Consider the following 27,522-nt stretch of genomic DNA (forward strand, 5'->3'; position numbering starts at 1 on the left):
GCTTTCAGTTGTGAAATTAAACAAGATATATAGTAGTGATGATAAAGTAGCATGTATACATTCATTGTGATTGCTACCAGTTTATTTGTGTCTTTGTAATACAAAGGGGGCTTTCAGGATTGGATACCATATGTGCAAAAGCTAAACTAACAGGCTTTTATATACTCTCTATGTGCTTATTGATTCATTATATAAATAAATAAATGCAAATAGTTCAAATTTGCATTAGGGATACCTTAGGAACATCTCTCATTCAGTTCTAAGCTCTAAACTTTATACTACCAAATTTTGTCTTGAATAAACAAGCCAAACCAAGACAAAAACTGTGCATTCACTTAAGGTAGTGAATAATATAAGTATGTCTTATGTAAGCAGGCCAGTCTTTGTATTTCTAGGTACTTTTTGATATCAGGATAAGTAGATGACCTCATTGACCCTATTATAAATTGGTTTTAGTAGAAACAATAATGTTTGTAAGCAAATTTTTATTCCCAGACTGCCTGTTTACCCTATAAGATAACCATCTGAAATACCTTACCTGATGCATGGTCAAGAATAAGTTGAACAAAGAAATCATTTGTGTTAAACTCCCTTGTGATTTCTTCATTTTATTGTTATATGTAATTTTCAGCTATAGTATTCTTTTGAACTGTAGTTGTGGTCAAAAATGTCAGCCAGAAAAGCTATGAAAAGCTTGGACAAACCACTCAGGTAATTTTCCAATTAAGAAGAATAGGTTCCCCAAATCCCATTTTAATTGAGAAACTGCCTGGGTAAGTAAATTCTTCCCCTGTCCTATCAAAAACCCAGGATAAATGGGAAAATATTAATGAGGTGTTAGTGAAGGGGACTGTAATGTGATAACAACAAAACTAGGTGAAACAGATAAATATAGAAACATATAATCAGTGTTATGCTGTACTTAGTCTAAACCAGCAATATAATCATTCAGTTGAAATATTAAATCCACAAACACCATTGAGAGGGAGATCCACTATGGTTGGTTTACAGATAAGGCAGGTGTAGGTAACTTCCCAATTTTTGTTCTATTAATCTATGTAATCTATATTTCTACAAATGGGATTTTTCCTATTTTATTTGTACTAAAAAGTAGCAACAACAGTTTTAGTGCTAGTCTTAACATGATTGTAATGTAATCAGCAGGGTTTTACAAATTGTCTCAAAGGTTAATCTTGGTGATCATCACATTATACTCATTCTTATCAGTTATATTTAGTGGCAGATTGCAAGCTTTCCTTATTATCTTGGTAAATCAAGAGGTGAAAGCCTTTCAAGCCTTCTCTTTTTAAACATCTTTTATTAATGCTAATATGCCAGATGGGAGAAATTAAAATGGTTCTGTTCTTCATGCTGCTGCTACCCACAATTTTACCACATCATTTGCTGGTTAAGGAAGCATATGAAAATGATAGGTAGAGCACACAATTGTAAAAGTTCGGAAATGATGAAATTCCTTGTCTAAGGAAAACCGTTTTTTATTTGACTAGGTAAAAAAAATACCATCACTTTCCAAACATACATAAGAAACACTGACAAAGATGGAATTAATACACTTGGAACTCATATGCTGCATCATTTTTTCCCAGCTACTCATGTTTACCTTAATCTTAAATGCCAACCAATAGCCAGCAAGATGATTATACAAGAATAATCCCCCTTGATCCATAGGGGTAATTGTCCAGAGCAACTAAGTTTATGTAAATGTTGCTTCTTTCCCATTTTCTTATCCTTTGGGAAATCAGTGGCTCTTGCAAGTGCCTATTTACTCTTTTTACAGGTCTTAGGAAATATGTACAAATATTTTGGCAGGTTATAGAATCACTTTCCTGCCTATCGATAACTATCTAGGAGAGTGTTTTCAATCCTTTAACTTTGCCGTAGACACATCCACATAAAATTTGGATTCTAAGCAATTCACATAGTCTGAATAATTACTCAATCTGATCTCTAAGTCTTAGGAAGCAACACTGGGAAGCACATAAAGAGTGGCTTTATGATAAAGATAAGCTTGAATTGACTAACTTTTGCTTAAGTTAAATCATTTGTTAACTTCAGTGTATAATAATATTTAATAATAATTAAATGCAATCTGAAACAAATTATGTTCTACCCACCCTCTTAACTGATTAGGTCTTTCTGGTTGAGAACTATGAGTTTGGAAAAGATAACGAAACTTTTATGTTCTTTAAGCGAGAAGATCAGGATTGTCAATGCTGTCATTGCTTTTACTGGAATCCCCAGCACGAATTGAAGGTGAGTACAGGATTTTTCTTTCACTCTGTTCTTAAATTAGAAAGCACTCCCTGTTTTTCACTCTCCTACTCTGATTTGACTGTACAGTTCTCTATACATCTCTTTCCTGTATTTCTTCCCAAGTCCAGGTTTGACCAGAGACAAAGAAGCAAATGCTATCAATTAACATTCACATGTGGTAGGTAAGTCTGTAAGTTGCTTTGGACTTTACTTGCCTCAGATATCTTAGATCCAAAGTGGGGAGAAAGTGGATAAAGGTCAATGTCAGTTGTTGAAAAGGGAATCATAGGGAGGTCAAAAGCACAGTAAAACTGGAGTCAAAATGCCTGTGTTCAAGGTCAGAATCTTAAAATTTTTTAGTGTGCCATCTCTGGTGAGTTACTTACTTAATAATTTCTTTGAGCTTCGTTTTCTTTCCTTTCTTTCTTTCTTTCTTTCTTTCTTTCTTTCTTTCTTTCTTTCTTTCTTTCTTTCTTCTTTCTTTTCTTTCTTTCTTTCTTTTTTTTTGAGACGGAGTTTCACTCTTTTTGCTCAGGTTGGAGTGCAATGGCATGATCTTGGCTCACCATAACCTCCACCTCCCGAGTTCAAACAATTCTCGTGCCCCAGCCTCCCAAGTAGTTGGGATTACAGGCAGGCACCACGAAGTCCAGCTAACTTTTGTATTATTAGTAGAGACAGGGTTTCTCTATGTTGGTCAGGCTGGTCTCGAACTCCTGACCTCAGGTGATCTGCCCGCCTTGGCCTCCCAAAGTGCTGGGATTACTGGCATGAGCCACCATGCCCGGCCCATTTTCTTATTGATTGATTGTTACATAATATTTGTACATATTGATGGAGTGCATGTGATGTTTTGTTACAGACATAGAATGTGTAATGACCATCACAATCACCTCAAGAATTTGTCATTTCTATATGTTGGGAACATTTCAAGGTCTCTCTTGTAGCTATTTTGAAATATACAATACATTATTGTTAATTATAATTACCCTACTCTGCTATCAAACATGATAACTTATTCTTTCTATCAAATTGTATGTTTGTACCCATTAACCGACTTCTCTTCATTACTCCTCCAAAGTCTTCCCAGCTTATGGTATCTGTCATTTTACTCTCTACCTCCATGAGATCAACTTTTTATTTAGCTCCTACATGTGAGTGAGAACATGCAATATTTGTTTTCTCTGTTTCTGGCTTGTTTGATTTAACATAAAGACCTCTAGTTCCATCCATGTTGCTGCAAATGATGGGATTTCATTCTTTCTTATGGCTGAATAGTATTCTCTTGTCTATATATACCACATTTTCTTTATCAGTTGATCCCTTGATGGACGCTTAGGTGGATTTCATATTTTTGCTATTGTGAATAGTGCTGCAGTAAACATGATGGGTATCCTTTTGATATGCTGATGTCCTTTCCTTTGAATATATACCCAATAGTGGGATTGCTGCATCATATGGTAGCTTTATTTTTAGTATTTTGAGAAATCCTCATACTATTTTCTATAATGGCTGCACTAATTTACATTCTCACCAACAATGTATAGAAGTTTCCATGTCTCCACATCCTCACCAGCATCTTTTATTTTTTGCCTTTTTGATAATAGACATTCTACCTGAAGTAAGAGGATATCTCATCATGCTTTTGTCTTGCATTTCTCTGATGGTTAGTGATGTTGAGCATTTTTTCATATATCCATTGGCCATTTGTATGTCTTGCTTTGAGAAATGTTTGTTCATGTCCTTTGCCTACTTTTTAAAGGGTTTTTGTTTTGTTTTGTTTTGTTTTTTGCTGTTGAGTAGTTTGAGTTCCTTATATATTTTGAATACTGGTCCCTTGTCAGAATAGTTTGCAAATAAGCTTTATTTATTTATTTATTTATTTTGACGTGGAGTTTCGCTCTTGTTGCCTAGGATGGGGTGCAGTGGTGCAATCCTGGCTCACTGCAACCTCCGCCTCCCGGGTTCAAGTGATTCTCCTGCCTCAGTCTCCTGAATAGCTGGAATTACAGGCACCCACCACCATGCCTGGCTAATTTTTGTATCTTTTTTTTTTTTTTTTTTTTTAAGTAGAGACTGGATTTCACCATGTTTACCAGGCTGATCTCGAACTCCTGACCTCAGGTGATCCACCTGCCTTGGTATCTCAAAGTGCTGGGGTTACAAGCATGAGTCACTGTACCTGGCCTCATTTTTTTAATTACAGGCATTCATACACCCTTCAATCCATTCATTTAACAACAACTATTTTTTGAGGACAAATGATATGTCTGAAACTTTATTTTCTTTATAGGATTATTGATGTTGCTGTAAGAACCATATGAAATATAAATATGTGTAATATAAATGATGATTATGTTTTTCATATGGCTTATTCTGCAAAGACATACATAAAGATTTTTATTGGCTCTTGTGCATGTAGTTTGCCTTTTGTATTGATCTTACTTCTTAATTTAATTTTCATATTATTTAAAATATCAATGGTATGTAAGTACACATCTTGAAAAATAACCAAGAAGTTATTACAATCTGTAAAGAAGAGAGTATATTTGGAATTCAGTTTTACATCTAATTTTGCTGCATACTTACTTCTGATGAAGAAACAAATCTCCCCCCAAAAATTACCTCACCACTGCCACCAACATGGGCAATAATATAACAGGAACAAAGCACTATTTTTTGCCAACAGCTAGGAAGATTTATTTCCATTCTTCTTTTATACAGGTCTTTCAGACTACATATGGAATCTAATGAATATGGAAATCACCTACCATTAATATAATTGAATATTAAAGTTATAATGAACTATGCACAACTGCCAAAATTTAAAATTACAATGTTAGGACTTCTCTATTTAAGATATATCTGCCTTTTATAAATTGTTCCCAGCAATTTGTATTTTCATAAAAACAACATACAGTGTTGTTCAACTTCTGCCCTTGTAATTCTCAGGCTGTTTTTCCATTGCCACAGTCTGCTAAACCTCTATTCCTTTTTAACAATTTTTGAGAAAGAAATACGCACAACCACTAGAACCATAACAAGACGAAGCTGTGTAAGATAGACACTAATGGTGGGAGGGACACCGCTAAGGCAGTATAGCTGATTTCATTTCTAAGTAAGAAAAAGGCCACACTCATACAGCAGACCAAATAAGATGCACATGGTAAATGACAGCAGAGCAGTGGACCCAGGAACTGGTATTAAGGCAGCAAAGTCCTAGATGTCAGATAGCTCTATTTTTCAGTCCTCTTTGCTAAATGTCTTTCATAAATTCATTAGAGTTACAAAAATTGCCTAAAAAGGAATTAAATTTCAGTTTCTGTAATTCATTTTCAAAACAGCAAAAGAATATATTTGCTCCATAAAAATTGTATTAGTTGGCATTCACTGATGCCAACTCTGGTCTCTTAGCTATCCCAATCATCTTCCATGGCTCTTCATATTTTTATTTTAGGAGAATTCCAAAATCTGCTTGGAGAAAGTATGCTCAAAGATTTATCTCACAAACATAATTTTTTTTGCATGTGGGGATAAAGAAGGAGATTTAAGATAACATAAAAGACTACTACATGTTTGGACTAGTTAATGAAGTTATTAAGGCAGGTTGCTGGTAGCACTGATAGATATATATAGTTGAATTTAAAGAGGAAAATATGGCCTATAATAGCTGATTGTACTGCAAAGTCTGGCTTGATATGAGGCTGCAGAGACATTGATGCAAAACCTCCCTCATTTATTAGGAAGTAGTCAGGGAAATTGGATTAAAAACTAATCTGGGGAAAAAACGACCTGATAGATTGTCTTCCCATGAAAGCCTTGACCAAAAAGGCCTTCATTTTAGCCATAGAAAAGATTCATTCAACCATCATGTTTAGGGCCTGCTAGACACTATCCAAAGTTAAGTTGCTTTTATTCTGTTCTTATTTTGCCCATGTGCATTCATCTTCTGTACACTGTGGCAACCAGAAATTTGTCAATGTCAAGGAAAACACTCAGTATATGGAGGCTGTGCAATATGACTTTGTTTAGGTCTATGTGCAGGTAACCTAGCACCAGATTGGAAAACTTGTCAAAAACATTCACCTTACTTGAATCTGGAAGGTTTGAAACACTTTCCATAATAAATAATGCATTTTAAAGACTATGGAAATATAATGATGAGAATTTATATAGCACTCTACACAGCTTTTTAGAGAGTATTTTCACTGCAAACTGTTAAGATACGTTATGTAAGTATGTGTATTATTATCCTTGCATGCTGACAGTAAACCTGAGGTTCAGAGAAAGGAAATGGGCTTTCCAAAATTGCACAGGTAGTAAATGTGGACCCAGGACTCAAAACCAGTAGTTCAGAATCAAAATTCTATGCTCACTATATTCTATACTGCTGCCTTTCTTCTCCAATGCAGTAAGTCAAATAAATTAAGTGTATAAGCACTTTTTCTCAAGATTAATTTATTTTATTAAGAAGCAGGAAGTATAGTGTAGGCTTTTCTTCTAAGGAAGGCTGGCTATATTTTCAGGATCCAAAAATTGAATGGCCTAGACATACCTCAGTGTATCTAGATACATTTTGAGACCTCTCTGGAAATAATATTTTGATTTTTGAGGGCAGGGAGCACGCTAATCTTGTTTTAAACATTCTTAAGTGACTGTGATACATTTTGTGCAATGAACACAATTAATTGGCAGACAAATGATCAATTGGTTCACATTACTCTAAATTAAAAGTGAATGTCACTTAAAAGTGGGTATGCTAATATCATAAGCAAATTGTTTTTATATACTTATTTCAATTATTTGTTGATCATTTTCACTTAAAAGATTCATTTTTAAACCTAAAGAAACTGATACGAATGAAATAATTGATTTGTTGAATAGGAAACCTCTGGTAGATCTGGATTTAAAACTCTGATTGCTCACTCTTGTGTTGTCTAAGGAGCCATTCTAGCTGTGCATTACATCTTCTTCCAAAACAAATGGTGAAACTGAAGTTCAGGATAGTCTCCTTGTTAGAGAAGGACAAGGCAGGCTATTTTGTGTACAGACTCAGTTGAGTTTTTCTGAATGACTTTGTTCCAATGTCAAATAAAAAACTGAAGTACACACTAAATTGAATTAATACTTCTCTTATACCACTTCCTGCTTTTGATTCAAGTGTTAAATATATGAATAATTTCAAGTGAGGCACTATATGTATATATATTTTCAAATGTCTTCATAAAGAATACTTTTATGATAAGGTCACACCCTATCAAACAAAGAAGTTTAGAGTTCTATGACAATACATGTGATTTAGCTTGCTGCAAATTAAAAAGACAAGTCTTAATTAAGATAAAAATAGTAAATTGCCTAAATATTGAACACATGTATGAGAATATATTAAATCAATGACTAACAAATGCTTTTGAAATCTGGATAAATATTTAAAGAGTTTATTCAATTAAAGCCTACAAAAGATATAACCTATAAATACAACTGTTGAAACTGGCTTTATTTTTTATAACTATGAATATGTTGCACTTAATATTCTTCTAATAGTTTATTTTGCCAAATGTGCTAACTTGAAGAGCTATATCAAGCTTTTCAAATGGTGAGCTGCAGAGTAGGTGCCGCTCACCCCACTGCTTGGTGGGAGGGGTGTGTTGAGGAGGGAGGAGGCTGCCTTGCTCTTTCCCCACCATGTTGTATTCCCTTCCACCCTTCTCTTTTCTTGACTCCTCACCTTCCTTTCCTTGTGTCTTCTTTCTTTCTAAAACCATTTATGGAGCACTTTTTATGATATAGGTACCTTGCCAGATGCTGAGGATAAAATGATGACTAAGATATTCACAGTACTGCCTTCTTGGAGCTTAAAGATGATGGAGAAATCAAACTGGCAAACTGGCAATTACAACTCATCAGAGCAGATTCACTAAAGGGGAAATAAGAAGGGCTATGGGGTCCCCTAATCAATACCTTGAGGATAAGAAGAAGCTTTTTGGAGGAAATTACATCTAAACAGATGGAAAATTTATCATTTATTCTTCTTTAAGAGTTTCCTATTTTTTGAAAAATTAACATGCCACTCAAATCTTTTCTGCTTCAGCTTTATTTGCCATTGTATCCCTGCACATGCCTCAGACTGCAGCCCATATTCACAGTTGCCTTCCCTAATCTTAGTCTCCCTCTCCAGTTGCACTCACTTCACCTTATTTGGTATTATAGTTGTTTCCATGCGTTTCTTCAACTGGAAATCAAGGACTGATTCTTATTTTCCTTCTTAGTCTTCCATTTACAAACTCTGTTCCCCAAACCAAGTTTTTATCATTCTGTCTAGCACAGAAGTCTTTGATGGAATTAAAACAATTTATGAATTTTTTTCGTTTTCTCATTCAAAGAATTGATTATCTATCACACGCATGAAAAAGAATACAAAGGTAAACATTACCAATAAATAAACACATCTAATGGAGGAGATCAGATATATTTCTCAATAGGTTTAATTTAAAATTAGATTATAACACTCGTTCATCTGTTCAACAGATGTTTATTAAATGCCTACTGTGTGCGAGTCCCCATTGTCAGAAACCTTACATTCTGATGGAAGAATATTGACAAGCAAATGAATAAAATGAATGTGATGAATTCACATAGTGATAAAAATGCTAATAAAAATGAAATGACATGGTAAATAATAGGATAGAAGATGTTTGAAAAGGTTGTGACAGGTCAAGGCATCAAGGAAGGTCTCTGTGAATAGGTGCCATTTGAACTAAGATATGAATGTTGAGAAGGAGTCAGCTATGGGATGATCTGAGAGAAGGGAATTCCAGATGGAGGTGATAGCAAATGCAAAGAACTTGTTTGACTTTTTTGAGGAAAATAAAGGAATACAGTAATACTGATGCCCAGTGTCTAGGAAAACAATGATTTGAAAGGAAGTTGTTGGAGAAGGAATGGATTTGATTGTTATAACATCTTATAGGCTATGGTAAGGAGTCTGGGATTTCTTTTAAATTCAATTAAAAAAAAAAAACACCAAAGAACTTCAAATAAGTGAGAAAGAAACATTATCTTATTTACATATTAAAAAGGAAGTTCCAAATTCTGTGTGGAGAATGAATTTTAGGGAGAGGAAGATGGAGACAGGGAGCATTGGTTGGAGGATCTTACAGTGGTCCATGAAAAGGATAATGGTGCCTTGAACAGAAAAGATAAGAGAGGATAGAGAGAAATGGCCAAAGTGGAGATATTCTTTGGGGGTAGATTCAGCAAGACTTGATAGGTTGAGTGCCAAAAAGAGAAGAGGTGAATTCATCAGTGACTCTTCATGTCATGAGTATTCAAAATAAGAATTATGGGGTGTGGAGCAAATACTAGCTTTCCTAATGTAATTGTTCACAATGCGAGTCCTTACAGATCCTAGAGTGAGTGGGTGGTAGTGGTTGAAGTTTTTATATTACTTCAGTAAGTCTAAGAAGAAGTATGTATAGATTTACTCTTGATTAGGCAATGGAGATAACTATGGTCTTTGCTTTGGATGGGAATTAGACTAATTCAATGCTTTAAATTTAATGTTTTTAAAAAACTTAAGTGTAGTTTGTGTCATTAAGTAGATCTTTCAAAATACAGGACCTATGGTGGAGAATATTTAAGGATAGAAATCCTTGATGCCAAAAGTTTGGAACACTCATATTTTGGGTATTTTAGTGAGCTGGGTCAACTCTTCTCTTTCTTGCTTATCCTATTTGCTTACCAGTTGTTCTTCTCCACTCTGTTGGCTTTTTTTTTCTAAAGTAACAAGGAATGCCAGTGACTACCAAGTAATTGTATGTGAGTTTGGGGAGCTTCAAAACAAATAGCTTTTATAAAATAGTATTATTTTATTATCCACATTCCAATTTCTCTTATTTTCAACATTAATTCTAAAAGTTTCTTTTAAAAAATTGACCCTCTAATGGAGAAGCAATATGATTCCATGAAGTATAATTGAAATTACATATTTTCCCCATCATAACTAATGTATCAGCTTTAAAGTCTTATATATATGTATTTCCAGTGGGATGAGAATTTTTAGGAGACTGAATAAAACATTACAGTGGTCTGAAGTGGTAATGAAGATTCTATCACTGAATTACAGTGCATTGGCAACTCTGTCATAGATTTACTATTTGATCCTGTACAAGTCACTTGAATTCTTCCTTCAGTTTCTCACTTACAAAATGGTAAAGCAAAGAACTCCTGATGAAACATGAAGAATATTAGATCACATAAAAAAAGATAAAAAGGAAAATGAGGAGCTGGCAAGATGGCCAAATAGGAACAGCTCCAGTCTGCATCTCCCAGTGAAATCAATGCAGAAGGCAGGTGATTTCTGTATTTCCAACTGAGGTACCTGGCTCATCTCATTCGGACTGGTTAGACAGTGGGTGCAGCCCACGGAGGTCGAGCAGAAGCAAGGTGGGGCATCACCTCATCTGGAAAGCACAAGGGGTCAGGGAACTCCTTCCCCTAGCCAAGGGAAGCCATGAGGGACTATGCCTTGAGGAACGACGCACTCTGGCCCAGATAGTACGCTTTTCCCATGGTCTTTGCAAACCCACAGACTAGGAGATTCCCTCGGGTGCCTACGACTCCAGGGCCCTGGGTTTCAAGCACAAAACTGGGCAGCCACTTGGGCAGACAGCGAGCTGGCTGCAGGAGTTTTTTTTTTGTACCCCAGTGGCACCTGGAATGCCAGTGAGACAGAACTGGTTACTCCCCTGGAAAGGGGGCTGAAGCCAGGGAACCAAGTAGTCTAGCTCAGTGGATCCCACCCCCACAGAGCCCAGCAAGCTAAGATCCACTGGCTTGAAATTCTTGCTGCCAGCACAGCAGTCTGTAGTCAACCTGGGATGCTCAAGCTTGGTGTGGGGAGGGGTGTCCACCATTACTGAGGCCTGAGTAGGTGGTTTTCCCCTCACAGTGTAAACAAAGCCACCTGGAAGTTTGAACTGGGTGGAGCCCACCACAGCTCTGTAAAGCCGCTGTAGCCAGACTGCATCTCTAGATTCCTCCTCTCTGCGAAGGGCATCTCTGAAAGAAAGGCAGCAGCCCCAGTCATGGGCTGATAGATCAAACTCCCATCTCCCTGGGACAGAACACCTGGGAGAAGGGGTGACTGTGGGCGCAGCTTCAGGGGACTTAAATGCTCCTGCCTGCTGGCTCAGAAAAAAGCAGCAGATCTCCCAGAACAGCACTCAAGCTCTGCTAAGGGACAGACTACCTCCTCAAGTGGGTCCCTGAACCTCTGCCTCCTGACTGGGAGACAACTGCAGTAGGGGTTGATAGACACCTCATACAGGAGAGCTCCGGCTAGCATCTGACAGGTGCCCCTCTAGGACAAAGCTTCCAGAGGAAGGAACAGGCAGCAATCTTTGCTGTTCTACAGCCTCCGCTGGTGATACCTTGGCAAACAGGGTCTAGAGTGGACCTCCAGCAAACTCCAGCAGACCTGCAGCACAGAGGCCTATTAGAAAGAAAATTAACAAACAGAAAGGAATAGCATCAACATCAACAAAAAGGATGTCCCCACAGAAATCCCATCTGAAGGTTACCAACATCAAAGACCTAAGGTAGATAAATCCATGAAGATGAGGACAAACCAGTGCAAAAAGGCTGAAAATTCCAAAAACCAGAATGCCTCTTCTCTTCGAAAGGATCACAGCTCCTCACCAGCAAGGGAACAAAACTGGATGGAGAATGAATTTGACAAATTGATGGAAGTAGACTTCAGAAGCTGGGTAATAACAAACTCCTCTGAGCTAAAGGAGCATGTTCTAACCCAATGCAAGGAAGCTAAGAACCTTGAAAAAAAGTTACAGGAATTGCTAACTAGAATAAGCAGTTTAGAGAAGAACATAAATGACCTGATGGAGCTGAAAAACATGAAAGCATGAGAATTTTGTGAAGCATACACAAGTATCAATAGCCGAATTGATCAAGAAGAAGAAAGGATATCAGAGATTGAAGATCGACTTAATGAAATAAAGTGTGAAGACAAAATTAAAGAAGAAAGAATGAAAATGAATGAACAAAGCCTCCAGGAAATATGGGATTCTGTGAAAAGACCAAACCTACATTTGATTAGTGTACCTGAAAGTGATGGGGAGAATATAATCAAATTGGAAAACACTCTTCAGGATATTATCCAGGAGAACTTCCCCGATCTAGCAAGATAGGCCAACATTCAAATTCAGAAAGTACAGAAAACACCACAAAAATACTCCTCAAGAAGAGCAACCCCAAGACACATAATCGTCAGATTCACCAAGGTTGAAATGAAGGAAAAAATGCTCAGGGCAGCCAGAGAGAAAGGTCGGGTTACTCACAAAGGAAGCCCATCAGACTAACAGCAGATCTCCCTGCAGAAACCCTACAAGTGAGAAGACAGTGGGGGCCAATATTCAACATTCTTAAAAAAAAAATAGAATTTTAAACCCAGAATTTGCTCTCCAGCCAAACTAAGCTTCATAAGCGAAGAAGAAATAAAATTCTTTACAGACAAGCAAAGGCTGAGAGATTTTGTCATCACCAGGCCTGCCTTATAAGTGCTCCTGAAGGAGGCACTAAATATGGAAAGGAAAAACTGGTACCAGCCACTGCAAAAACATACCAAATTGTAAAGACCATCGACACTATGAAGAAACTGCATCAACTAACAGGCAAAATAAACAACTAGCATCATAATGACAGGATCAAATTCTTAGAGACCTACAAAACAGCAAGTTCTTAGAGACCTATGAAGAGACTTAGACTCCCACACAATAATAGTGTGAGACTTTAGCACCCCACTGTCAATAATAGATCAACAAGACAGAAAGTTAACAAGGATATTCAGGACTTGGACTCAACTCTGGACCAAGCGGACCTAATAGACATCTATAGAACTCTCCACCCCAAATCAACAGAATATACATTCTTCTCAGCACCACATCACACTTATTCTAAAATCAACCACAAAATTGGAAGTAAAACACTCCTCAGCAAATGCAAAAAATTGAAAATTGTAACAAACAGTCTGTCAAACCACAGTGCAATCAAATTAGAACTTCGGATTAAGAAACTCACTCAAAACCACACAACTACATGGAAACTGAACAACCTGCTCCTGAATTTACTTGGTAAATAACAAAATTAAGGCAGAAATAAATAAATTATTTGAAACCAATGAGAACAAAGACACAGCGCACCAGAATCTCTGGGACACAGCTAAAGCAGTGTTTAGAGGGAAGTTTATAGCACTAAACGCCCAAAGGAGAAAGTAAGAAAGATATAAAATCAACACCCTAACATCACAATTAAAAGAACTAGAGAATCAAGAACAAACAAATTCAAAAGCTAGCCGAAGAGAAGAAATAACTAAGATCAGAGCAGAACTGTAGGAGATAGAGAGATGAAAACCCCTTCAAAAAATCAATTAATCCAGGATCTGGTTTTTTTTAGATTAACAAAATAGATAGACCAATAGCCAGATTAATAGAGAAGAAAAGAAAGAAGAATCAAATAGACACAATAGAAAAATGATAAAGGGGATATCACCACTGATACGACAGAAATACAAACTATGATCAGAGAATACTATAAACACCTCTACACAAATAAACTGGAAAATCTAAAAGAAATGAATAAATTCCTGGATACATGCACCATCAGAAGACTAAACCAGGAAGAAGTCAAATCCCTGAATAGACCAATAACAAGTTCTGAAATTGAGGCAGTAATTAATGGCCTACCAACCGAAAAAAGATTCACAGCCAAATTCTACCAGAGTTACAAAGAGGAGCTGGTACCATTCCTTCTGAAACTATTCCAAACAATAGAAACAAAGGAACTCCTCCCTAACTCATTTTCTAAGGTCAGCACCATCCTGATACCAAAACCTGGCAGAAACACAACAAAAAAAAGAAAATTTCAGGCCAATATCCCTGATGAACTTCGATATGAAAATCCTCAATAAAATACTGGCAAAACGAATCCAGCAGCAAATCAAAAAGCTTATCCACCACCATTAAGTTGGCTTCATCCCTGGGATGCAAGGCTGGTTCAACATATGCAAATCAATAAAAGTAATCCATCACATAAACAGAACCACATGATTATCTCAGTAGATGCAGAAAAGGCCTTCAATAAAATTCAACCCTCCTTCATGCTAAAAACTCTCAAAAAACTAGGTATTGATGGAACCTATCTCAAAATAATAAAAGCTATTTATGTCAGGCCCACAGCAGCAAATCAAAAAGCTTATCCACCACCATCAAGTCAGCTTCATCCCTGGGATGCAAGGCTGGTTCAACATACGAAAATCAATAAAAGTAATCCATCACATAAACAGAACCACATGATTATCTCAATAGATGCAGAAAAGGCCTTCAATAAAATTCAACTCCCCTTCATGCTAAAAACTGTCAAAAAACTACGTATTGATGGAACATATCTCAAAATAATAAGAGCTATTTATGACAGACCCACAGCCAGTATGATACTGAATGGGCAAAAGCTGGAAGCATTCCCTTTGAAAACCAGCACAAGACAAGGATGTCCTCTCTCACCACTCCTATTCAACATAGTGTTGGAAGTTCTGGCCAGGGCAATCAGGCAAGAGAAAGAAAGAAAGGGTATTCAAATAGGAAGAGAGGAAGTCAAATTGGCTGTGTTTGCAGATGACAAGATTGTATATTTAGAAAACCCCATTGTCGCAGCCCAAAATCTCCTTATGCTGATAAGCAACTTCAGCAAAGTCTCAGAATACAAAATTGACGTGCAAAAGTCACAAGCATTCCTATACACCAATAATAGGCCAACAGGGAGCCAAATCATGAGTGAACGCCCATTCACAATTGCTACAAAGAGAATAAAATACCTAGGAATACAACTTACAAGGGATTTGAAGGACCTCTTCAAGGAGAACTACAGACCACTGCTCAAGGAAATGAGAGAGGACACAAACAAATGGAAAAACATTCCATGCTCATTGGTAGGAAGAATCAATGTCGTGAAAATGGCCATACTGCCCAAAGTAATTATAAATTACTTTCAATGCTATCCCCATCAAGTTACCAATGACTTTCTTCACAGAATTAGAAAAAACTACTTTAAATTTCATATGGGACCAAAAAAGAGCCCTCATAGCCAAGACAATCGTAAGCAAAAAGACCAAAGCTGGAGGCATCACACTACCTGACTTCAAACTATACTACAAGGCCACAGTAACCAAAATAGCATAGTACTGGTACCAAAACAGATATATAGACCAATGGAACAGAAAAGAGGCTTCAGAAATAACAGCACACATCTACAGCCATCTGTTCTTTGACAAACCTGACAAAAACAAGCAATGGAGAAACAATTCCCTATTTAATCAATGATGTTGGGAAAACTGGCTAGCCATGTGCAGAAAACTGAAACTGGTTCCTTACACCTTATACAAAAATTAACTCAAGATGGAATAAAGACTTAAATGTAAGGCCTAAAACCATAAAAAACCTAGAAGAAAATCTAGGCGATAACATTCAGGACATAGACATGGGCAAAGACTTCATGACTAAAACACCAAAAGCAATGGCAACAAAAGCCAAATTGACAAATGGGATCTAATTAAACTAAAGAGCCTCTGCACAGCAAAAGAAACTATCATCAGAGTGAACAGGTAACCTACAGAATGGGAGAAAATTTTTGCAATCATCCATCTGATGAAGGGCTAATATCCAGAATCTACAAAGAACTTAAACAAATTTACAAGAAAAAAACAAAGAATCCCATCAAAAAGTGGGCAAATGATATGAATGAACACTTCTCAAAAGAAGACATTTATGCAGCCAACAAACATATGGAAAAAAGCTCATCATCACTGGTCGTTAGAGAAATCTAAATCAAAACCACAATGAGATACCATCTCATGCCAGTTAGAATGGCGATCATTAAAAAGTCAGGAAACAACAGATGCTGGAGAGGGTGTGGAGAAACAGGAGTGCTTTTTCACTGTTGATGGGAGTATGAATCAGTTCAACCATTGTGCAAGACAGTGTGGCGATCCCTCAAGGATCTAGAACCAGAAATACCATTTGACCCAGCAATCCCATTACAGAGTATATACCCAAAGGATTATAAGTCTTTCTACTATAAAGACACATGCACACTTGTGTTTATTGCAGCACTGTTCACAATAGCAAAGACTTGGAACCAACCCAAATGGCCATCAATGATAGGCTGGATAAAGAAAATGTGTCACATATATACCATGGAATACTATGCAGCCATAAAAAGGGATGAGTTCATGTTCTTTGCAGGGACATGTATGAAGCTGGAAACTATCATTCTCAGCAAACTAACACAGGAACAGAAAACCAAACACTGCGTGTTCTCACTCATAAGTGGGAGCTGAACAATGAGAACACATGGACACAGGGAGGGGAGTATCACACACCAGGGCCTGTCAGGCGGTGGAGTCTAGGGGAGGGATAGCATTAGGAGAAACACATAATGTATATAATAGGTTAATGGGTGCAGCAAATCACCATGGCACATGCAAACCTGTGTAACAAACCTGCAGGTTCTGTACATGTATCTCAGAACCTAAAGCATAATAAAAAAGAAGGAAAATGAATAACTTAAACTACTCAATTAGGACTTTATATAATAGATCAAGAAGTGGAACTGGGGACAAAGTCTATTTTCTACCATATTTCTCAATCACTGTATTGATGTTTAATCATTTGTTTTATATTTATTGACTACTCATTATATACCAAGCACTGAAGGTATGAAAAATGTCATTTTATTTAATTTATTTTTTAATCTAAAGAATGTTCAGTTTTACTGAAGGAATTTTATCTATTACCAAGATAGAATAATTTGATTTACATTCATAGACTTTCAAAAATTATCTTATTGGTCTTCTTCTACTATGATATTATTTTATATACTACTTGGATAATTATAGAAATTGTTAGGTTCTGGTCAATGGCTTTGGAATTTCTACCCAGCTATAAAAGATCATTTTTATTTTTCTAAAAAGAAACAAATCATTACTAATGTATATGTGATGCTAGAGTACAGACAGCCACGCTGTCTTTGAAGTAGATGAAAGAAAAAAAAGAAGAGTATTTTTCTAATGTTTGTCACAGTTCTTGTTGGAAATGTGATTTTTTTCTTTTTTCTTTTTTTTCCCTGGCTGTTTGGAAATAAAGAGCCCATGGAAAATGTTTGTGCACACTGTCGTTTAATTTTTTTTTTATTTTTTGAGACAAGGTCTCACTTTGTTGCCCAGGCTGGAGTGTAGTGGCGCCATCACAGCTCATTGCAGCCTCGACCTCCCAGGCTCAAGCAATTCTCCCACCTCAGCCACCCGAGGAATAGCTAGGAATACAGGCATTTGCCACCATGCCCAGCTAATTGTTGTATTCTTTGTAGAGACAGGGTTTCGCCGTGTTGCCCAGGCTGGCAAACTGTCCTTTAAATGTAATGATCTTGTGCATGTATTTTTGAACCTTATTTAGCAAGTTTACAGCTTAATAATTATTTTGGGGGAAATTATTCATATTACTTTTAACACACAATTACACCATGGAATGTACTTCATTCAATGTGAGATGGGAAATGTAAAGTATAAAGATCACTGGTTTTGTAGGGAACCTATCAATAAGGAAGTCAGGGCTTAGTTGATGATCGCCATGGTCATAGTACTGAATTCAGAGAGAAATGCAGATCCCATGAATTCAGAACTCAGTGCACTTCAGAGTGAAATGACTGTCTTGTAAAGCGATTTTCATATTAAGACTAACTCTTGTTAATACTGATGCAAAATCATATCCAACACCTTGTATTTATGTGATGCTTCACTTTTCTAAAAGGAATTTCAATTATTTGATATTACATTTCCAAACATGTATTGTGGTCCCACAGTAATTGGAATACAAAGAAAAAAAAAGTCACAGTACCTGCGTTGGAAGAGTGGGGAAGATAGACATATAAATATGCTAAAATACAATAACGCATGCTAAGTTCCATTAACTCTGGATGAGAAAGATGAAGAGGAAAGATGAAGATGCTACTAATTTTGATATGTTATTTGAGCCCCCTTGTACTGCTTAGAGATAAGGAGGGTGAGCATTGTTATCTGCTTTTGATGGTTGAGGGAAGATGTTTTCTATTGGGTGAAATGCTTTCCCTGAGGTCACACAGCTGCTTGTTAGAATAGCAGTCCCCCTGTGCTACTGCTCCCTGCACTCTGCAGCCCTGACCCAAATCAAACCTTGTATTCTAGCATAAAATTGCTCTGCTTCCTTAACCATACATGGTTGGTGCAAAGAAAATGTTAGTTGACAAAAGCTGTCCTGTTATGAGCTTTCTCTGATGTGAATTCAAATCACATTTCAGAGGCACATTTCAGGCGGGCTCTAAATAAGGCATCCTTGGTTTTTGCATTTTCATTAAAAAGAAGCCATGGTTTTCTGTACAGATATTTAATGAGATTTTATTCATATTTAAATATTTGAATAATTATATTTGCTTATATGGTAAAAGCAGATTTGAGGCAAATGGTTTTCGGCCAAAAACAGAACAATAACAATCCTGGTTCAATCAAACCATAGTTGGATTCAGTAAAGAAATAAAACAACTGGCATGTCTAGTTTCTAATTTTCTAGAACGGGAGCTCAGAGATATTTTAATCATATTCTAATGTTTGTAACAGTTCTTGTTGCCTGAAGTTGGAGTTGCGAGTTTTCTCGTTTAGTATTCTTAAAGGAGCACCCAGAATGAACATGAATAAACTTAAATTACACAATAATAATGATTTTTGGACCATACTGGAAACATGGCAGCCCATACAATCCAAATTGTCGAGAATAAAGATTTCTAAGCTACTCTCTGACCAACTTTGAGAGTGTGAAAATGAAGCTAATTGTTTTAGTCTTTTCTGTATTGATTATGTTGGAGATCTAATTGAATCAGATAGACATAATATATACATAAGGTGCTGAACCACTGGGATAATGCAGTTGGACTTGTTGCAAACACTGGTATAATTAAGGATTTGTTAACACTTGTATAATAAACCTCTATTATCAAGGACTTTTAACTAAGTATTAAAAATTTATTCTCAGCTGCAACTTGCCATTCAAGGTCTCAGCTAGGAAGCAATTTTCTTTTACAAATTTTCTACAAAAATAAAAAGAAACAAGAAAAAAAAGCCTTCCTCTGTATTGCTTTGTAACTGAGTTTTTCTTTAACGAAAAATCTTAGGCCTGGGTTTCCCTTCTGAAAGGGAAAATTCCTGAAACACGAGAAGTCAAAGAAGAAACAGTTTATTTCTACATCTAATGTCCTTTCTCATCAGGTAGAGGGCTCCTTTTGAAAGTATATTTGCATTTTTTTTAATTTAAAAAGGAACTATGCTTGTTTTAAGAGGTTAAATAACACAACGCTGTTTAAAGAAATTACTCAAAACCTGCTCCTTTCTTATATAATCCCACCTACCTGATACCTAACTTTAATTGTGCATTCTTCTATACATTTCCTTATATTTATAAAAATATGTATATTTTTATTTTTTACTACATAAAAGAAGTCAAATTTGAACTTAATTCTTCTAAACCTCTTTTTTTTTTTTTTTTTTTTTTTTAAACAAGGTCTCACTTTGCCACCTAGGCTGGATGCAATGCAACGGTATGTTGATCTTGGTTCACTGCAGCCTCAACCTCCTGAGCTCATGTGATCCTCCCACCTCAGTCCCCCACGTCGCTTGGATTACAGGCCTGTGCCACCACACCTGGCTAACTTTTTTTGTAATTTTTGTAGAGACAGGGTCTCACTATGTTTCCCATGCTGGTCTTTAATGCCTGAGCTCAAGCCATCCGCCTGCCTCGGCCTCCCAAATTGCTGGGATTACAGGCATGAGCCACCATGCCCAGCCTAATTCTTCTAAATCTTATCCTAGTAATTAAGCCAGAATTTTTCTCTGCCAAGACCAATAGATGGACCAAGAAGTACTCATCCTTGTAAACTTTCTTTGGATAAATTGCTTACATATAATAAATTCAGAGTTAAGTAATAAAAATAATGAACTACTGTCTTGAATTATTTGTTCTCAAATAATTTCCCTTAAACCCATTCACACTCGTATCAGTTTCTTCATGTCCTTTCATCCTGAGGGCAGCACACGGCCCTGTGAGAGATGCACAGTAATCCTACTAGCCGTGAACTGAGTCTGGATGCTCCTTTCTCCTGCACAGAAAAACTGCTGAGACTCACTACCCCATCCAATCTAACTTCAGTGGTTTCTACTGAACTCCATGTCTTAAAAGTAACAATCAATGTTTTGACCACAACATGCAAATCTTTTCTAGATACTTCTCTCTTCTCTTCTTAGTAAGAAGAAGGTGTCACAGCACCCAAATGACCACAGACAGAGAAAGTGTCTTGTTGGGGCAGAGACATACTTAATGAACCCATCATTTCAAAATTATCAGGATTTATTTTCGTGAGCCAGTATAAGTGGCAAGAGAAATAATAATAGTGATCTCAAAAAATGAATGGTAATTGCCTTGATGATCTTTATGATTAATTCCTTTGATGGCTAATTTATTGTGTGAAATTCCTGTTGATGCATGATGAACTTAGGGGCTTAAAACAACACACATTTATTATCTGACTGCTGCTGAGTCAGAAGTCTGCGTGTGACTTAACTGGGTCCTTTGCTTATGGTCTCACACGGCTTCAATCAACATGTCGGCCAGGACTGTGATTCCATCTAAGGCTTGCAGTCCTCTTCCTAACTCACTGGTTGTTGGCAGAATTCAGTTCCTTGAGGTTGTAGTACTGACGCTCTCAGCTCCTGGACTACCAGGAAGTTCCTAGTCACATGACCCTCTGTACAACATGGCTGTTTGCTTCTTTAAGGTCAGGAAGAGAGTGTCTCTTCCTGTAGTCGGCTAAGATGGAGACTTATATAATGTAACAAAGTAATGGAAATGAAATCTCATCACCTTCGCCATATTATTTGGCTAGAAGCAAGTCATGGTTTCCACCCACACTCAAGGGAAGGGAATTTGATAAGAGCATAAATCACTTAGCATGTGTCTGTCACATTTATGTGTACATATGTTTGTTTATTAGCACAATTTTTATTAAATTAATAAAATAAAATTCTCATTTAGCTAGCATTTTGGAAATCTTCATTTAAACGTAATTTCCTGTTGAACAACTTACGGTGAAGAGCAGAAAATTTACACTTTAATATTTCTGATTTTTTTCTAAAACGAATTATATAGGCTTTTGCCTTTAAAAAAAAAAGGTTATCTGTATGCAATTTTACTTTTCTGACTTGAGCCCATCTCTAGAACCTCAGTTGCTGCAATGTGCCATCTTCAGTGATATCCTCATGGATTCTTAAAGTGAGAAGAATCTTTTTTATTCATCTCTTCAGTGTTTACTGCTCTGTCTCAATTATTGTGTTAGATACATACATATATCTAGACAGAATATATCTATTTCAGTAGATATATACTGAAATATATGTAGATATATTTCAGTAGATAATATATACCTATATTATATACATATATATAGATACATATATACAGATAATATATACATATATATAGATAATATATACATATATTATCTACTGAAAAGTAAAGGTGTCCAAAAATAAGCTCTTAGACCCTACTAGTAGAAATATAAATTGGGTCAACAAATTTTGGAAAAAAAAAAGGTATTATCCAGCAAAGTTGAAGATGCACACTTCTATGACTCGGAATCTCTAACATAGATATATATCCCAGAGAAAATTTTTCACAATAATGTTCATAATACCATTGTTCCATACAGCAAAAACTGGAGATGAGTGACTAAAAAAATTTAAAAATATATTATGAACTATTCATACAATGGAATGTTATACCAAAGTGAAAATTAATGACCTCTATCAATATGGACAAACCTCACAAACATCATGTTGAGAAGAAAAAACATGAGTTACAGAAGAAAACATTCAATATGCAAAGAATATTTTTATAAAGTTCAAAACCATGCCAAACTCAACACCCTACTTATATATAAATATTTTAATAAAAAAAATAAGCTGGGCGTCGTGGCTCACGCCTGTAATCTTAGCACTTTGGGGGGGTCGAGGCAGGCAGACCATGAGGTCAGCAGATCAAGATCATCCTGTCCAACATGGTGAAACCCCGTCTCTATTAAAAATATGAAAAATTAGCTGGATATGGTAGTGTGTGCCTGTAATCCCAGCTACTCAGGAGGCTGAGGCAGGAGAAACCCTTGAACCTGGGAGATGGAGGTTGCAGTGAGCTGAGATCGTGCCACTGCACTCCAGCCTGGCAACAGAATGAGACTCTATCTCAAAATAACAACAACAATGAAAAAAAAAAAAAGAATAAGAAAGTAAGAAGGAATTTTAACTCAAAATTTAGGTGAGGGAGAAGTTTTGGGGAGTAGGAGAGGGGGGGAATGTTTGTGTTTAAAAGCTCCTAGTATGTTCTATTTTCAAAAGGAGTGGTGTGTATACAAATGCATGCTTTATTATGTGCACCTTGCATACACTGGTTTATGATATATAGTCTTATTTAATAATATTTAATAATTTAAAATAAAAACACTTCAACAAATTACACAACTTTTAGGTGTTAGGTTTGAAGATCCTACATAGATTCAGGAGAAGGTGTTTAAAGTGGTAGACAAAAGGGAAGAGGGACTGTTCTTGTTTAGCACATCCTCAGAGTGTTAGAGTAGGTAGGGATGAGGAGACCTAATATCTGAATGGAAAAGGCCAAGATGAGAGAGAAGGGTCAAAGAAGTACTAGACTTAGGTGAGGGGTCATATACAGTACTTCACAACTCAGTATTTCTGGGAGGCATGAAGAGGTGGCTATAGTGGCAAGAATGGGATTGTGTAGAAGGACACCTATCCCCGCGTAGGTGTATCTTAGGTCTACTCTTGCTTCTGTTCTCCTGTAACTTTGCCACTGTATTAGCATCTAGGGAACTGGATGTATGGGAGCATTTACCTCACACAATTTAGTAGCCGTTAGCATTCAGCAGCAACGTTCACCATTCAGGAATCAGACAGATCTAAGTCTAAAATTTCAGCTTTACTATGTTTTAGTTTAGCAACCTTTGTAAAGTAATTTAGCTCCTCCCTAAGGCTTAGTTTCTTAATGACGATAATATACCCATTCTCCAAATATTTACTGAATGCCAAGTATTTGCTAGGCACTGTGCTAGAAACCAGCAAACCAGTGACAGATCAGAAAACTTTCAGGTTTTAGTGACAGCAAATCTAATTCACATGGGCTTAAACTTGTGAGGCATATATTGGCTCATGTGGTGGAAAAAGTATATTCTGTGGATAGTATGTTTCAGGTGTAGCTTGATTCAGGGCTCAAACTATCTCCTTAGGGTCCATTCCTACACTCTTGTTCCTCTGGATTGTCTTCCTTCCAAGCTCTTTCTTCTAAGGCATCATCATGTTTACATCATAATAATACTCAAAAAGAAAATGCCTGTTAAGGTATTGTGCATACAAGCCCTGGTGTTCACTCTCTCTCATTAGCCCATATTGAATCCCATGCTCATTTCTGGTCAGGAAAATGGAATGACTAGATGAGCTTAAGCCCAGGTCATATGTCCCATCCCTGGAGTCTGGGATAACTCCACTGCATACACTGTGAAATGGGGAGAAGTTTCCTCAAAGCATAATGGGGATACAGTTTCCAAAAGGAGGAATGTTAATTCTAAGGAAGCACAATCAAGAAATGTCCATTTCAAATTGTAAGCAAAAGCTTCCCCAGTTGTTGCCATCATTGAGCTTACAGTTCAATGTGGAGGATAATTAAAATAATCTCAAAAATAAGTGTATAATTGCAGTTGAAAAGACTGTGAGGAAAGAGAGAAGCATAATGCCATGAGAGTTATAGTGAGGAAATTTGGTCTACTCTGGTAGGTTGGAGAAGGCTTTCCCAAGGAAAGACGGCTTGGGCTGGATTAAAAAAATGGATAAAATTCAACGAATTGAATACTGGAAAGAAGAACATTTCTGGAAATGTATCAATGTGTTAAAATGCTTGGTGACAGAAGGGAGTACTGCAAATATTAGGATCTAATCACTTTCTTAGAGCAAAGAAAACCCACACTGTATTGTGGGTGATGGACTGAAATGACAGGGAAAGACCAGAATCTACAGCACCTTCTGGACCATTTTATGGAGTTAGGCCTTTGCCACAAGGGCAGTCGGAAGCTTTTCAGGATTTTAAACAGAGAGACAATGTGATCAGTTTTGAATTTCAAAAAGATTCTTTCTTTCATTGTGAAGAAAAATTAGAGGAATTGATGTGGGCTACCAATAAGGATGCTATTGCAGTAGTAGTGGTTCTCACCCAGGGGGTTATTTTATCCCACAGGGGACATATGGCAATGTCTGGACACATTTTTAATGGTCACTAATGATGAGGAGTGCTACTGGCATCTGATGAGTAGAGATCAGGGACCCTACTTAGCATCCTGCAATATAGAGAACAGCCCTGTGATGGTTAATACTGAGTGTCAACTTGATTGGATTGAGGGATATGAAGTATTAATCTTGGGTGTGTCTGTGTGGGTGTAGCCAAAGGAGATTAACATTTGAGTCAGTGGGCTGGGGAAGGCAGATCCACCCTTAATCTATTGGGTGCAATCTAATCAGCTTCCAGCTAACATAAAGCAGGCAGAAAAATGTGAAAAGTAAGATGGGCCTAGCCTCCCAGCCTACATCTTTTTGCTGGATGTTTCCTGCTGTTGAACATTGAACTCCAAGTTCTTTAGTTTTGGGACTTGGACTGGCTCTCCTTGCTCCTCAACTTGCAGACAGCCATTTGTGGGAACATGTGATTGTGTAAGTTAATAATTAATAAACTCCCCTTTACATACAGTTATTGGTTCTGTCTCTCTAAGAGAATGCTAATACAAGCCCGTTTCAATAAAGGAGTACCTGGTCCAAAATGTCAGTAGTGTCAGGGCTAAGAAACACTGGTCCAGATGAAGAGATCATGGCTTGTTAGTGGTGAGGCAAATGGAGAGAAGAAATATATTAGGCAAATGTGAAGATATGAAGAAGTATGATTGACAGGGCTTGTGGAGGGAATGAATACTAGTGTAAGATATGGCAGTACTCATTCACTGAGTTGGAGACCACTGAGAAAAGAGCATGTTTTATAAGAAAGTGTTTTCATTTTTGAGTTTGAAGCAACTTTGATATCTCCAAAGTTATCAAGTAGGTATTTAAATATTTAGGTCTGGAGATCAGATGAAAAGTCTGTATTAGCAATTTATATATCTAATGCGTCTCTGATTAGGTGGTGGGTTTAGATGAGATTGCCTAAGGAAGGAGTATAGATTTGGAAGAAAAGAGATTGGAGGATTGAACCTGGAGGAGCTCCAACATTTAATAGCCTCATAAAAGATAATGACAGAGAAAACTATAATTCTGTGTTCTAAGTGTTATGAAGAAAATTACAGACATCTAAGGTGTAATACTATTTATGTGTAGGGATTAACAAGATCATATATGTGAAGTGTCTAATGTAGAGTAAGCCCTATATAAATAGCAATTATTATTATTAATCTTACAATAAGATTATTATTCTTAATACTTTGATCTGCTTTTAATAATTTTCAGTACTTCTCCTTCTACCTGCCTTTAGTCTAGCATCGATTAGAGAGTGGATAACCAGGAATGTGAAATTAGTCATCCTATTTTATACCCAGTTCTAAATACACAGATTCTGGCTAAAACAGTAAGGATGGCTGCAGTCTTTATTGTAGTGTAATCACACCTGTGTAGAGATATTTGCGCTTATGGGAATAAAGTTAAACTATTGACTGTTATTTAATATACTTATGTTGTGTGGTGATGTTTCTTAGTATTTGCTCTGTACCATTCTGACCCTTATGACACGTATACTGGAATTCCTCTTCTGGCCTCCAACTGGTTTACTTCTCTTACTCAACAATTGGGTAAAACACTCTTTTGTCAGTGAATTTCTACAAGAGCACTTACAAGCACTTTCTCTACAAAATTGCATTTTGAAACTTGACACATTTCAAACTCACTGCATGTTTACAATTTCCCACCTTAAAGATTATTTCTCTGATTTGTTTACATGTTTGTTTTTCTACTTAAATTTTAAATTCCTTTGAGATATGAAAGCAGGTCTTTTTTTTTTTTTTTTTTTTTTTTTTTTTTTTGAGACAGGGCCTCACTCTGTCACCCAGGCTGGAGTGCAATCGTATGATGTTGGCTCACTGCAACCACTGCCTCCTGGGTTCAAGCAAATCTCAGCCTTCCAAGTAGTTGGAATTACAGGTGTGCACCACCATGCCTGGCTAATTTTTATATTTTTAGTAGAGACAGGGTTTTGCCATGTCGGCCAGGCCAGTCTCAAACTCCTGACCTCAAGAGATCTGCCCGCCTTGGCCTTCCAAAGTACTGGGATTACAAGTGTGAGCCACTGCGCCCAGCTAAAGCAAATCTTAGTCATCTCAACATACTGGCTAGAACTTAGCAAATAATTGTCAAATTAAAAAGGATAGTAAGACTGGCAAAAATTATTTAAGAGGAGACTATAGCACCTCATAGTGTCAGAAAGTAAGGAAATGTTGAACACTAGTCCCCACCTCCAAACACACATATGTACATACACACACATAGATGACATGCATCAAAGAGACACAGGAGCCAACTGAAAAGGATCACAGTGGTCAAAGCTGGAAAACTTTGAGCAACAATAACAAAAATATAAAATAAATGTCCGTGAATCCATACTGATATAAATATATGATTAAATAAATGGGGAGAGGAGACAAATGTCCCTTGCAGAAGAATCCCAAATAGTTTTTGTAGATACTCTGCCTTCAAGAAAGTGGATCATAACTCTCTGCTCTTTGTGTGTGGGTTGTGCGTATTAATTTCTTTCGCAGTATGGAAAAGGGGAAAATAATTTTATAGGGAAGGAACTTGACAAATATCAACTCAGCCTGGAGATGACAGTTAGCATCAACTGTGATAAGTCATGTTAAAAGCATGTACCCTTGATATGACATGGTGAGAATAGCATCACGTCTGTGATCTCTCAAAAGTCCATAACCTAGGCCGGGCACGGTGGCTCACGCCTGTAATCCCAGCACTTTGGGAGGCCGAGGCGGGCGGATCACGAGGTAAGGAAATCGAGA

General features: G+C 36.8%; 1 long non-coding RNA gene across 6 annotated transcripts in view; it reads left to right on the forward strand.

Moving 5' to 3' along the window:
• The window catches only part of MEF2C-AS1 (MEF2C antisense RNA 1), a 584,252-nt gene that overhangs the window by 264,992 nt on the left and 291,738 nt on the right, over positions 1–27,522 (forward strand). For 2 of the 6 annotated variants that reach the window (NR_136218.1, NR_136222.1), the window contains one exon: positions 2,212–2,274. The exons of 3 other annotated variants lie outside the window; for them this stretch is intronic. This is a non-coding gene — a long non-coding RNA (MEF2C antisense RNA 1). Of the gene's footprint in view, positions 1–2,211; positions 2,275–2,402; positions 2,457–27,522 lie in introns of all 6 variants that reach the window. One more of the 6 variants, NR_136219.1, reaches the window with a different exon arrangement.

Source organism: Homo sapiens, chromosome 5 (assembly GCF_000001405.40).
Source record: "Homo sapiens chromosome 5, GRCh38.p14 Primary Assembly".
In the NCBI taxonomy this organism is placed as follows: Eukaryota; Metazoa; Chordata; class Mammalia; order Primates; family Hominidae; genus Homo; species Homo sapiens.